General features: G+C 49.2%; 1 long non-coding RNA gene across 1 annotated transcript in view, besides 1 other annotated feature; it reads right to left on the reverse strand.

Annotated features, from left to right (window-relative positions):
- The window catches only part of SCIRT (stem cell inhibitory RNA transcript), a 78,930-nt gene that overhangs the window by 33,352 nt on the left and 33,336 nt on the right, over nucleotides 1-12,242 (reverse strand). The gene's annotated exons all lie outside the window — the stretch shown is intronic.
- Nucleotides 10,506-11,263: an enhancer, noted in NCBI's record as "H3K27ac-H3K4me1 hESC enhancer chr6:44007317-44008074 (GRCh37/hg19 assembly coordinates)". NCBI's record gives its function as "activates a minimal SCP1, AML or CMV promoter by ChIP-STARR-seq in naive H9 embryonic stem cells {active_cell/tissue: H9 hESC(naive)}" and the evidence as "EXISTENCE:reporter gene assay evidence [ECO:0000049][PMID:30033119]".

Raw genomic sequence — 12,242 nt, forward strand, 5'->3', positions numbered from 1 at the left:
AAGCATAGGTTAGGGGAGAGAAATTATATCAAGTTGCCAGCAGATAATACTGCACACTTTACAAATATTTCCTTACAAAGATAATGTGCCTGGAGAAAAGACTGAATGCATAAATGCTGTGGCAGGCCAAATAACGTCTCCCAAAGATGTCCACACCCTAATGCCTGGAACTCGTGAATACATTATGTTACTTGTCAAAAGGGAGTTTGCATGTGATTAAGGTTAAGGACCTTAAAATCGGGATATTTTCCTGGGTCATCCAGGTGGACCCCATCTAATTGCATGAGCCCTTAAAAGCAGAGAACATTCTCTCTAACTTTGCCTTCTGCCGTATCTCCCATCTTCCCCTTTTGCCACATCTCTCCTTTGCTTCTAGCACAGTTTGGAAAGGATCCCTCCAAGTCTGAGGATCGCTGGTTCTAGGGAGGGGAGGGCAGGGGCTGTTGGTGTCCCTAAGCTGCTAACACCAGGTGGTATCTGTCCAAAGAAGAGGCTTTTCTATGGAAATTGCATTGTTTTTCCAAAAATCAGTCATCTTGCCCTCTTGGCTCAGCCTCATACAGCACATCTGGGATGCGTTTACTAGAAACTTCCCCCGGAGGCCTGAGCCTGGTGCAGAAATTGAGAAGACTGGAAATGAGTAAGACTCATGCCAGGGCACTTAACAGGATCCACCAGTGGCACCTACTTTTCCACAGGAAGCCACACAAGTCAAGAATCCACCATGATTTTGCAAGATGGCTCCAGGGAAAGCCCTCCTGGGTTGTGCCTCAAATGCCCAAAGGGCTCCTCATTCTGCCATGCACCCCACCTCATTCTGAAGGCCTAGCCCTCATTGTGTGTGCACATCCAACCTCCAGGGCCCATCTTGCCTCTTTCTATCCAAGTCCCTGCCTTTAGTGCCTGCCCAGGGTCCTGGATCCCCCAAGGCTGGGACCCGCCTTGCTCTTGCCTTTCTTGTCAGAAGCTGTACTTCTGTCCTTAGCCCCAGTCTGATGGCAGGAGACCCTTCCTGCTGACCAGTCTTCCCACTATATTCCCAGTCTCCCATGGCTGGGAAATAGGGTTGGCTTCAGTTGTCCCTACTGGGATGCACCAAAAGTAGCAGGAAAAGATTCAAGAACCCTTTAATGCTCACAGCTTCGTCAGCATCCAGACGTCGTTCAGTCCCCTGCCTCCAGAGCAGGGTGTCCACCACTCACTCTTGCTGGCCTCCTGTCAATGGCTGACCATGCTCTTCTCACTTTGCCTAAAACTCAGTTTACCCCCACACCTGTCTATATGCTCTATTTTCTCTCCTGATGAAAGAGCGGAGAATGTGTCTATACTCACTCAGGTATACAACACAGTTACAAAACCACCTTCCTTCCTCTTAAATGACTGCATTAATTAAAGGTTTGTAGGCCTGGAAGATGCTAAGGTTCTAGGTCAAGGAATTTCCTCTTCTGTGCTCCTAGAGCTGACAGTTGTAAGGAAAGGAAGGGCAGCTCAGGGAGGACATCTAAAGGGCTCTCTTGTCTCCTGGTTACCTGGCCTCAGCACATCGCCCACACCCTCTGCCACTTCAATCCCTGCCCAGAGGGGACAGAGGGGACACTGGAAAATCCCCTCCCTCCCTCCCTCTAACCCTCTCCTCTCTCCAACAAGCCCTGGGCACAGCAATGTTCACCCAAGAGTGATGCTGAAGTCAGCCAGGTTCCTAAGAAAGGGTCATGGCCAGAGGACTTCGAAACTGCTTCAAGAAATGGAGGGAGGGTGCGGTGACTTCATATGTTTAGGACCAAAGAACAGTCCTAGGGATGCTGGAGGAGATAGGGGGGAGGACGTGGTCACTGCTTTCAGAAGCTGCTGCATGAAGGCTGCATGCTGCAAATGTTAAGAAATAGCCATGCCAGGCTGACATCTTCCTGACCTCCTGCCACCTTCAGGGCTCTCCTTTAGCCTCCCTGTCCTAGTGTAAGAGTAGCCACCTGTGCCTGCATTGAGTCCACTAGCCTGGGAGAGGCCCAAAGTTCTGGATCATGCCTCCCTCAAAAGACTGGGGCTCAAGATAGTCCTGAGGGTGACAGAGGTGCAGGGCTTCCTCAGGGGGCAAGCAGAAGAGTCCTGGTTTTCTTCCAAGGACCCCTGCCCCCTGCTGTTCAGTCCTCTCCAGCCCCCAGGGCTTCTCAACCCCCTGCTCGTCTCCACATACTCTGTCAGCCTTAAGGAGGCTCTTGTGGATCCTCATTCCTTCGGGACAGGAGGCCAACAGCTATGTCCTGAGCCTCAGCTCTTCCCTGGCCATGCCCCCGCCTCACACCTCCAGCCCTGATTTTGTGCCTCTGCTTCCAAGGGAGGAAGATGAACGACGGAGGAAGTTCTGAGCTAAGGAAGGGAGTATTGATGAAAGTTGTGTTGACAAAAGAATGTGTCAAGACTAAGTATGATTCTTTCCAGAAGTACAAGAAAGCCAAATTCTGGGAAACTCAACATAACCTACTATATTAGCATGTAAAATAGATTAATTTTCCCAACATGTTTAATGGGGAGACTCTAAAAGCAGTCCCGTTAAAGTTGACGTCAGCTCTCCCCATAAACTATCACCATTAGTATTTAATATTGTTCTGCAATTACTTGACAATGCAGTTAGATGAAAAATAAAATAAGAGGTATAAATATTGTAAAAAGAAAGCAGTTATTATCATTGGATGATATTACTCTATACTTGGATATTCCAAGAGAATCAGCTAAAGAACTTTTAGTAATATCAGGAATTTATCAAAGTGGCTAGTTTAAAAACAAGATTTCCTAAATACAAGAAATAACTAATAAAAGAATATGGAAAAACATCCCATTAATAAGGTTAACAAAAACCTAACATAAAACACATAGAAAAAATGTGCAGATACATGGAAATAGCTGTAAAAGCTAAATGAGGGACATACACATAGACTTGAATCGATGGAGAAAGACCTTTTCCTTGGATAAAAAGTCAGTAATATTGTAAGCATGTCAGTGTCACCATAATTAAACTATAAATTCAGCATACTTCTGTACAAAATATCAGCTGCTTTTGGGGGATAATTTGACAAAATGATTACATACAAATTCCTCTGGAAAAATAAATATAAATGAATAGAACATTCCTGGAAGGAAAAATAAGTAAACTAACAAGGAAAGAGTAGCACTATAAAACATTTTTCAAAAATAGTATACAGCTACAATAATTAAAATAGTGTGGGACTGGTGCCTGCATACAGATCAATTGGAAAGAATAAAACAATTTTAAATAGGCCCAAATAAACATGAGAATTCAATTCAATAAATTGAGATACTAGTCAGATATTTGGATCAAAAATAAATAAATCTGGATTCGCTACATCACTCCTAATATGGACATAAATTCCAACAGGATCAAAGATTTAAAGAAAGGAAAACATTTTAAAAATAGTCATAAAAGTGCCAGAAGAAAATATGTGTAAATGTTTTCGTGAACCTGGGATAGCGATTTTCCTAGTCATAGAACAAAACAGAAGTCATAACAAAGAAGATTAACAAATGTACCTACGCAGACATTCAAGGAAAAAGCTCCATAAACAAAATCAAAGGACAAAATAAGAGAAAAGTACCTGCAAGATGTATGACAAAGTGCTAATTTTCCTAATTTAAAATAAGACATTTTTTAAAACAGTAAGAAAAAGATTAAACAATCCAATGGCAAAATATAGGCAAAGAATACAAACAGGTCATTCACAAAAAACACAACTGGCTAATGAAAATATAAACAATGTTCAATCTCACTAATCATTTTAAATGCAAATTAAAACAAGATCTAATTTTTCATTTATCAGATTGACGAAGATGAAGAAGGTGATACTATACAGCGTTGTGGAAGACGTGGCAACACAGGCAATCTCATGCAATGCTAATGAAATGAAAATTAGTACACTCTGCCGCAATTAGGCGTTATGTATTATATTTTATTTTAGTTTAGTTTATTTTTTGAGATAGAGTCTCACACTTGTCGTCCAGGCTGGAGTGCAGTGGCACGATCTCGGCTCACTGCAACCTCTGCCTCCTGGGTTCAAGCAATTCTCCTGCCTCAGCCTCCAGAGTAGCTGGGATTACAGGTGCCTCCCACCACGCCCGGCTAATTTTTTTGTAGTTTTAGTAGCGATGGGGTTTCACCATGTTAGCCAGGCTGGTCTTGAACTCCTGACCTCAGATGATCCGCCCGCCTCAGCCTCCCAAAGTGCTGGGATTATAATCGTGAGCCACTGTGCCCGGCCTGGCGTTATCTCTTAAATTTTAAATGTTCTGGCCAGGTGCGGTGGCTCATGTCTGTAATACTAGCACTTTGAGAGGCCAAGGCGGGCGGATCATGAAGTCAGGAGTTTCAGACCAACCTGGCTAACATGGTGAAACCCATCTCTACGAAAAATACAAAAATTAGCTGGACGTGGTGGTGGGCATTTGTAATCCCAGCTACTCGGGATGTTGAGGTAGGAGAATCGCTTGAACCCGGGAGGCAGAGGTTGCAGTGAGCCGAGATCACGCCACTGCACTCCAGCCTGGATGACAGAGCAAGACTCCATCCCAGAAAAAATAAAAATAAATAAATAAATAAATAAATGTTCATATTCTTTGACCCAGCAGTTTAACTTCTAGGATATTATGCAACTGCCCAAAGATATATGTACAAAGCTGTTCATGGCAGCATTGTTTATAATTTTTAAAAAGGGAAACAAATCACAGCTTCATTTATAGGGAGGTGGTTAGGTAAATAATAGCACATCCACAGAGCAAACTACTCTGCTGCTATTGAAAAGAATAAGGGGCTGGGCATGGTGGCTCATGCCTTAAATCCCAGCACTTTGGGAGGCCAAGGCAGAAGGATCAACCACTTGAGACCAGGAGTTTCAGGTCAGCCTGGGCAATATAAGAAGACCCTGTCTCTATTTAATAAATAAATAAAAATAAAAAAGAATAAGGAAGCTTTATGTATATACCATCATGGAAGGAAGTCTAACATAAGTGAAAAAACAAATTGTTAACCTTATGTGTAACATATTTTTAAAATAATATGTTTTAATCATGCCTGGGCCCATCCACTTCTCTTTGGAGGTCCCTAAGGAAGCTTAATACATAAAAACAGTGGTAAAGGCAGGCAAAATATCACTTTAATACTCACTGGGGTCCTGGCCTCCAGTGGGCAGGACAAAGGCCCCTCTGACAGTGCACACAGAAAGGATCCAGCGGTTCCTGGGGCTCCCTCTACCTTCACATCCTGTCACTCTGCCTGGGCCCAGATCCTCCACCTTGCCGTGCATGCACACAGGGGCCACTGATTGACTCAGAAGACCCCCACCCTCTGGTGGCTCTGGAATCTCTTCCTTCAGGGTGTGAAGGCCAGGGAGAGAGGCAGGGGAAGGGGTTGACCCACCCTCTGGGGTCAGAGGTGCTGAGCCTCCCGGATGCAGGGGGTGGACCAGAGCCAGGAATTGCAACAGCTGGCCACGGGGTTTGTGGGTGAGTGGGCAGCCTGCTGTGGTGAGGAGGGGAAGGATTTGTGGGAAACACGGTTGGCAGAAATAGCCAGGATGGCATGCACCGGCAGCCTCTGGGGAGGGGACCCTTGCCCTCAGCCAACTCCCTCAGGGTCCATCCTGGGGCATTGCTGGCCACCTGGCCACCCTACAGGCCTTGAGTCACTTCCTGTGTTTTTCTTTCCCCCCAGGTAGGCTCTTGACTCACAGCCCTCCTTCTCTTCTTCCTGTCCTTCTGTGGCTCAGGGGGCAAGGACAAGACCCACCTGAGGGTCAGGAGAAAAGTTAGGGGACCTTGGCTTGGGATAGGTGCCCTCCCACCCAGACCTCTTACCTCAAAGGCTACCTCAGTCAGTCAGTCCCCTGTGTCCAACCCAGCCCAAACAGGGACTCACTGAGTCCCTCCTAACTCCTTCCCTCAGAGAGAAGGGCTGGAGTGCTCAGACCTCCTGTCTGCATCTTCGGCAGCTTCTGCCTTCTCTCCCAGTCCTGTACCCTAACCTGGCTCTCACTCTCTCGCATTACAACAAACTTCCTCAGGAGTTCCATCTTCTCAACAAATATTTTCTAACTGAATCAGAGTCAAGGTAAATCTCCAGAGTAGGATCACAGGGCCAGCTGGTTGAGCAACACAGAAGCAGAGTCCTCTCCACTGGGGACACTTTGGTACTCATGGTTGGTTGTCTACTCAGCCTCTGTCCCCACACCCCTTTCCTCCTTTAAAACCCAACCCTCTCCGCCTCCTCCACAGTAAGGCCCTGTGCCTCACCAACCAGTTAGCGAAGCCTCATTCTCTCTAAAGGAATGGGTATGTGGCCTAATGTTGGCTGATGAGAACTCAAGAGTAAGTTTTCTAGGGGCACTCCAGGGAAAAGTTCTCCTTATTTGAAAAACAGACCTTGAGAAAGATATGGCCCCTCTTCAACCTCCAGGCATATTATGTCTGGATGCGATGTCTGGACTTTGAGCAGCCACCTTACAACCATGAAGGGCGCTATAGCACCTGAGAAGCAAATCAACACGCTGAGGATAGCAGGGCAGAAAAACAGACAGAACCTGGATCCTTGATTATGTGATAGATCCACTCAATTACCCTCCCTAGACCCACGGTCCCTAGGGACTTTTCTCAGGAAATGAAAACTTCCTGTATTGTCTAAACCATTTTGAATCAGGGTTTCTGTTACTTGCAGTCAAAGAGCCCTGAGGATACAGCTAGATATTTGGCAAGTATGGATGAAGAAACCAAATGAGTAGTTGTGAGCAAGGAGGGTGCACGGCCTGAGGAAGGAGACCACATTTCCAAACCTCTGGCTCATGTTTAGCCTCATGACATGAGACCAGGCCAGCTGGATGCTGAGAGAAGCAGGAGGAATTTGGATTGTGTGTGTATAAAGATGTAAGAAACAAGAGCTGGAGTGAGGGTACCTCTGGGAATCAGTAGCTCAGGTGTGGTGAGGGAGAGATACAGAGATGTTCATTACAGCATTGTTTATTCATGATTCCAAAAAGAGTGGAAGCAACCCAGAGGTTTATTTATAGAGAATCGATGAAACAAATGTTAGTATGTCCATAGAGTGGGAGCTGGGCATCAGCAGAACCTCAAAAGAGGAGGCACCAGCCAAGTGGGAGCCCTGGATAGGGTTGCGTGGTCCACCAACTGTGGACCTCCATCGAGCACCAGGTCTTCTCCTCACCAGCTTGGAAGGAGGAGCCTTTGGCCAGGCTCCTGGTTCAGTTCCTGTCACATATTTCTTTGCATTATACATTCCATTCCCTGACTCCCCAGTACAGCTCTGACTCCCCAGCACTGCCACTCCCTTCTCAAGGGCAGGGACTCCCTCTTCTGTGTCTCAGGGCTGCCCTGGGCTAAGCATAGTGGTTGGGGCCTGATTACATAGGATCCAGGAGGAAGACAGCTTCTGTTAAAGGTAAGGGAGGAGGAAGACTGTCTAGAAAAAACAATCAGGAAAGTGGAAGGGCCAAGGTTTACTGAGCAGGACCATTGCTGTGGAACCAGGAGAGGGACAGAGATGGGAGAGGAGGAGATGAAGAAACAGACTCTAGATGGAGGGCAACGGAGCTAGGATGGGGACAGGAGAGCCAGAGAGGAGATCCAGCCCCTACGGCACCATGGGAGGGCACCCAACTACAACCCACGGTAATGCATTTCACCCCCAACCCAATGCCAACACACATGGGTGTGCAGAAACTTGAAATGAACATTGCGCAAAACTACACTTCCCCCTACAACATGTAAAGCACTCTGTTTTCTATTCTATTCTACTTCATGTTTTTCAAATGCTGGTCACAACCTACTGTTAGGGTTGTGACCAGCCAGGGACAAAGTCCGTGCGGAGACCAAGCACAGGCATTTAGACTCTTTATAGCAATTTTTTCTCTTGAATCCCACAATACAAAATCGGAGTTTGGGCCGGGCGCAGTGGCTCAAGCCTGAAATCCTAGCACTTTGGGAGGCTGAGGCGGGCAGACTGCCTGAGCTCAGGAGTTCAAGACCAGCCTGGCCAACATGGTAAAACTTCGTCTCTACTAAAATACAAAAAAATCAGCCAGGCATGGTCACAGGTGCCTGTAATCTCAGCCACTCAGGAGGCTGAGGCACAAGAATTGCTTGAGCTCGGGAGGCGGAGGTTGCAGGGAGCGGAGATCGTGCCACTGCACTCCAGCCTGGACAACAAAGCAAAACTCTGTCTAAAAAAAAAAAAAAAAACTGTACTTTGTCTTATTTTATCTTTCTAATCATTTCTTTGCATTATACAATATGGAATTTTCTGTGAGACAGAGTCTCGCTCTGTCGCCCAGGCTGGGGTGCAGTGGCGCAATCTCGGCTCACTGCAACCTCCACCTCCTGTGTTCAAGCAAGTCTCATGTCTCAGCGTCCCGAATAGCTGGGATTACAGGTGTGTGCCACAACACCCAGATAATTTTTGTATTTTTTAGTAAAGATGGGGTTTCACCACATTGGCCAGGCTGGTCTCGAACTCCTGGCCTCAAGTGATCTGCCTGACTCAGCCTCCCAAATTGCTGGGATTACAGGCATGAGCCACTGCGCCCGGCCGACAGATTGGGATTTAAAAAAAAAAAAAACTAGTCGTTCTTTCAGGTAGCTTGAAAAGCACTGTGTTGGAGGATACGGGCCCTGCCTAGCAGCTCACAGTCCAAGATGGAAAACTCCTCTGGCCTTTCCACACTGGGGAGCAGCCTGCAGGCCTGCCTTCCACAAATGCCCCCTTCCCTGCCTATCAGAATCCTCCAAGGCTCTGTTCAACGCTATCTCTCCAGGAAAACTTCTGAGATGGCACCCGCCTGCACTCGCTGTTGCCCTGGAGCTCTCACAATACACTGCCTGCACCCCTTTACCCTATTTCATGTTCTCGTCTGGGTGGCCGTCAATGGACCTGCTTAGCATAGATTCAGGCCATGGGTCTGACACAAGCACAGTTTTGCACATAGTAGGTACATCAAAGGTAAGAGAGAAAGAGGAGCACAGACAGGATGGGAAAAGGAGGGAGATGGAGGGATGGGCGCTATGGATGGTCACCAGGGATGGGAAGTCTGAGTCCAGGTTCTTCTGATACCGCAAAGTCAGAGGAGGGCCATGGGTAGAAATCCTAGGTGTATCCTAGCCTAAGTGGTTCAAGGAGGGGAGCAGCGTAGGGTGCCCACTGGAGCAGGAAGAAGGGGGTTGCTCTGAGCCAGGTTTCCCCAGGCACCATGGAGCCTATCCTGAGGAGGGGAACAAGAGGTGGGTCTGGGGAGAACTGGGCGGGGCCTGGGAGCTATTAAGTGTTTGCCTCAGGGGAGGCAAAGCGGGGAGCCCTCTGAAAGGGGTGCTGCGGGTTCTTCACTGAAAGGTCAGAGAGTATGCTAAACCCAGGCAAGCCCGCAAGAGGTCGTTTCATCCATCTTCCTGCCTCCATCCCAAACTCTGGTAGCAACATCTGGACTTTCCATCCTAACATGCCCTGGAGCTGGGACATACTGACTCCCTTGGATGGTTTGTTTCCCTCTGCCCTGGAAGCCCCTGCCATCCCCACATCATTTTGACAGTGTCTTAGCTTTGAAATTTTGCTGTGTGACCTCAGGCAAATCAGTTGACCTCTCAGAGCCTCAGTTTCCTCATCCGTTCAATGGGGATAATAGCACCGGGGTGCTATTGCGGGAACAAAGTGAATAATGCATGGGAAGTGCCTGGCAGGTGGTGGGTGTTGGTCAGTACCCCCTCTTGCCCCAGGCTGCTCCCTGGGATGGCACTTAGCCAGGAAACTTGGATATCATGTAGTGTGTCTGCTGTGGGTCCAGCAGTCTGGCAGAGCAAGGAGGAATGGGCTATCTGAGATGGAGAGTGGGTAACCAAAGAAGGCCTCCAAGAGGAGGTGAGTTGCAGACAGGAACTGATGCCTGAACTATGGAGTAAAGAGAGGGCAATCTTCCCACGTGGGAGACCTGATCTCTGCTAAGACTCATGAGAAAGAAAAAGCTGGGGTAGGAACACAGGGCAGAACAGCCGGGCCAGTTCCTGGAATGGGGAAAGGTGTGCGGAGGGGACAGCTGGCAGAAAGGGCCACTGGGAGCCACTTCTGAGGGTCAGCAAGCCTGGCATGCTCCTGGCCCTGCTCAAGACGGTGACGAGTCAGCAGGGGAGGAACTCCCACTGAGCCAGGTGAGCAGCCCTGGCCTCAGGAGTGAGGCTGCCAGCTTGCCTCCAGGAACTGGCAGCAACCCTGGCAGGGACAGGGGCAAGGGCCTGGGGAGTGGAACAATGTGCTTTGTGTGCGCTGGCCATGGTGGGGCTGGCTCTTGAAATTTCCCTAGAATAAGCTGGAGCCCAGGGGCAGAGCTAGGGCTGCCTCTGCTGAGAAAGCCTAACCCTGCAGTCCACCCAGGGCGACAGGAGCCCCCACCCCAGCCCTCACCCCTCCATCTTCAACCAGACCCTTCACAGCCTGCCCCACCTTGGCTCAACCAGTAGCTCCTCCACACTCACCCACGCCCTTCACTCCTGCCTGGGGCACACGCACCCCCCTGCACCCTGTGCTCAGTGCATGCACCCCCCCACCACACACACACAGGCAGGGGTCACCCAGTATCCAGTGGGTTTATGGAGAGAGGGGGTTCCCCTTGTACTAGATAGTATGAAGAAACCATGATGTGGGGGCCAGAGAGCGACAGACACAGAGAAAGACAGGAGGGCCCGATGGGAGAGTTACGACCAGAGAACAGGACAAGAAAGAAGAAAGGGACAAAGAAAGGGGGGGTCGAAAACAGACACAGAAAGACAGAGGCAGTGAGGGGAAGGACCTCAGAAGAAGAGCGGGACACTGTCCTGGGGGTTCCTGGGGCTCTGGTGGTGGGCAGTGGTGTGCTCTGCCCTCAGCCCTACAAGCCCCAGCGCCCTTGGTCACCCACTCTGGGCCTGCCACCAAGATAGTTACTAAACTCTCTCCTCTTCTCACAGTTCCCTCCCCCGGCCCTGTGTCACGTTCAGGTAAAATATTCAGGGCTCACCCACCACTTCAAGAGGGAGGAAGTCCTGAGCTCCCAGGTCCAGGCTTTAAGGGCTGGGGGCCAGGCCCTCGGCTTCTGCACGGTGCTCCACACAGCTGTGTAGACTGCAGGGCCCTCTGACATCTGTCCATCCCTGGTGTAAGCAGACCTTACTTGAGCCCCAGGCCTATTGACCCCCAGGGACAGCATCTCTACCACTCATTCACAGGAGCCCCCAGAATCCAGCCAACATAGCTTCATTTTCTCCCCAAAAGGCATTGCTTGCTTTTTGGAGGAAACACTCCTCCCGGCTTTCCAGGCCTATCATGCCACCCCAGGACCACTGACTGTTTCCGTTGTCCTCGCCTCTTCTCTAGGAGCTCATTTCCTCTGCATACTCGGAGATTTTCATCTCCTGCCTCCTTCAGATGCCCATAAAGAGGGCAGGCATACCCAGTCTGGCTCAGGTACCCAGGGAAGCTACTGACTGGCCAGAGAAGGGTCTGGTCTCCTTCCTCCTTTGTTTCTTGCCTCTCAACCAGTCCCCTCTCCATGACAAAATATTGTCTTCAGTCCCACCAACAGTTTGGAGGTGGACACTTTGCAGGGGAGGCTTAAACCCTAACTACTACATGCTCTTCACCTTCCCTCAGCTGGGTACACAGGGTTTCCCCCTTAGGGAAGCAACTGGATTGCCTCTCTTCCAGAAAATTAAAGCCACCCAGGACTTCAGTGCCAGGCCCTTTATTATGAATTCCTCCAACAGGCCTGGAATGAAAGCCAGGCTGCTGACTAGGGCCGGCCCTCCAAATCCCCTCAGACCCTAACAAGGAAGAGAGCTATCTTGCACAATGCCACTTGCCAGGCCACCTGCAGCCCCACAAGTCCACCTCCTCATTCTCATTCCCGAGCACTGCCAGGGGCCATCAGAGAGAAAGAGGGCTAGGGATGGGAATGGAGACTGAGTCCTACAGGTAGGGAGGGCAAGGGACTGAAAGAAAAGGAGAGCAAGAAGGAGGGAGGGGAAGACCGAACCAGAAAAAGATGTCGGGGGTGGGGGTTGGGGTGGGGTGGGATCTGTGGAGAGAGAGTGGAAGAGAGAAAGAGATGGGGAGAGAGACAGGGAAAAGAGAAATAAGAGTCATGGTAAGAAAGAGACAGGAACAGAGAGCCTCGGCTTCTCCTGGCTTCTCTAGACCTCTCCAGTGG

The sequence above is a fragment of the Homo sapiens genome, chromosome 6 (genome assembly GCF_000001405.40).
Source record: "Homo sapiens chromosome 6, GRCh38.p14 Primary Assembly".
NCBI lineage: Eukaryota > Metazoa > Chordata > Mammalia > Primates > Hominidae > Homo > Homo sapiens.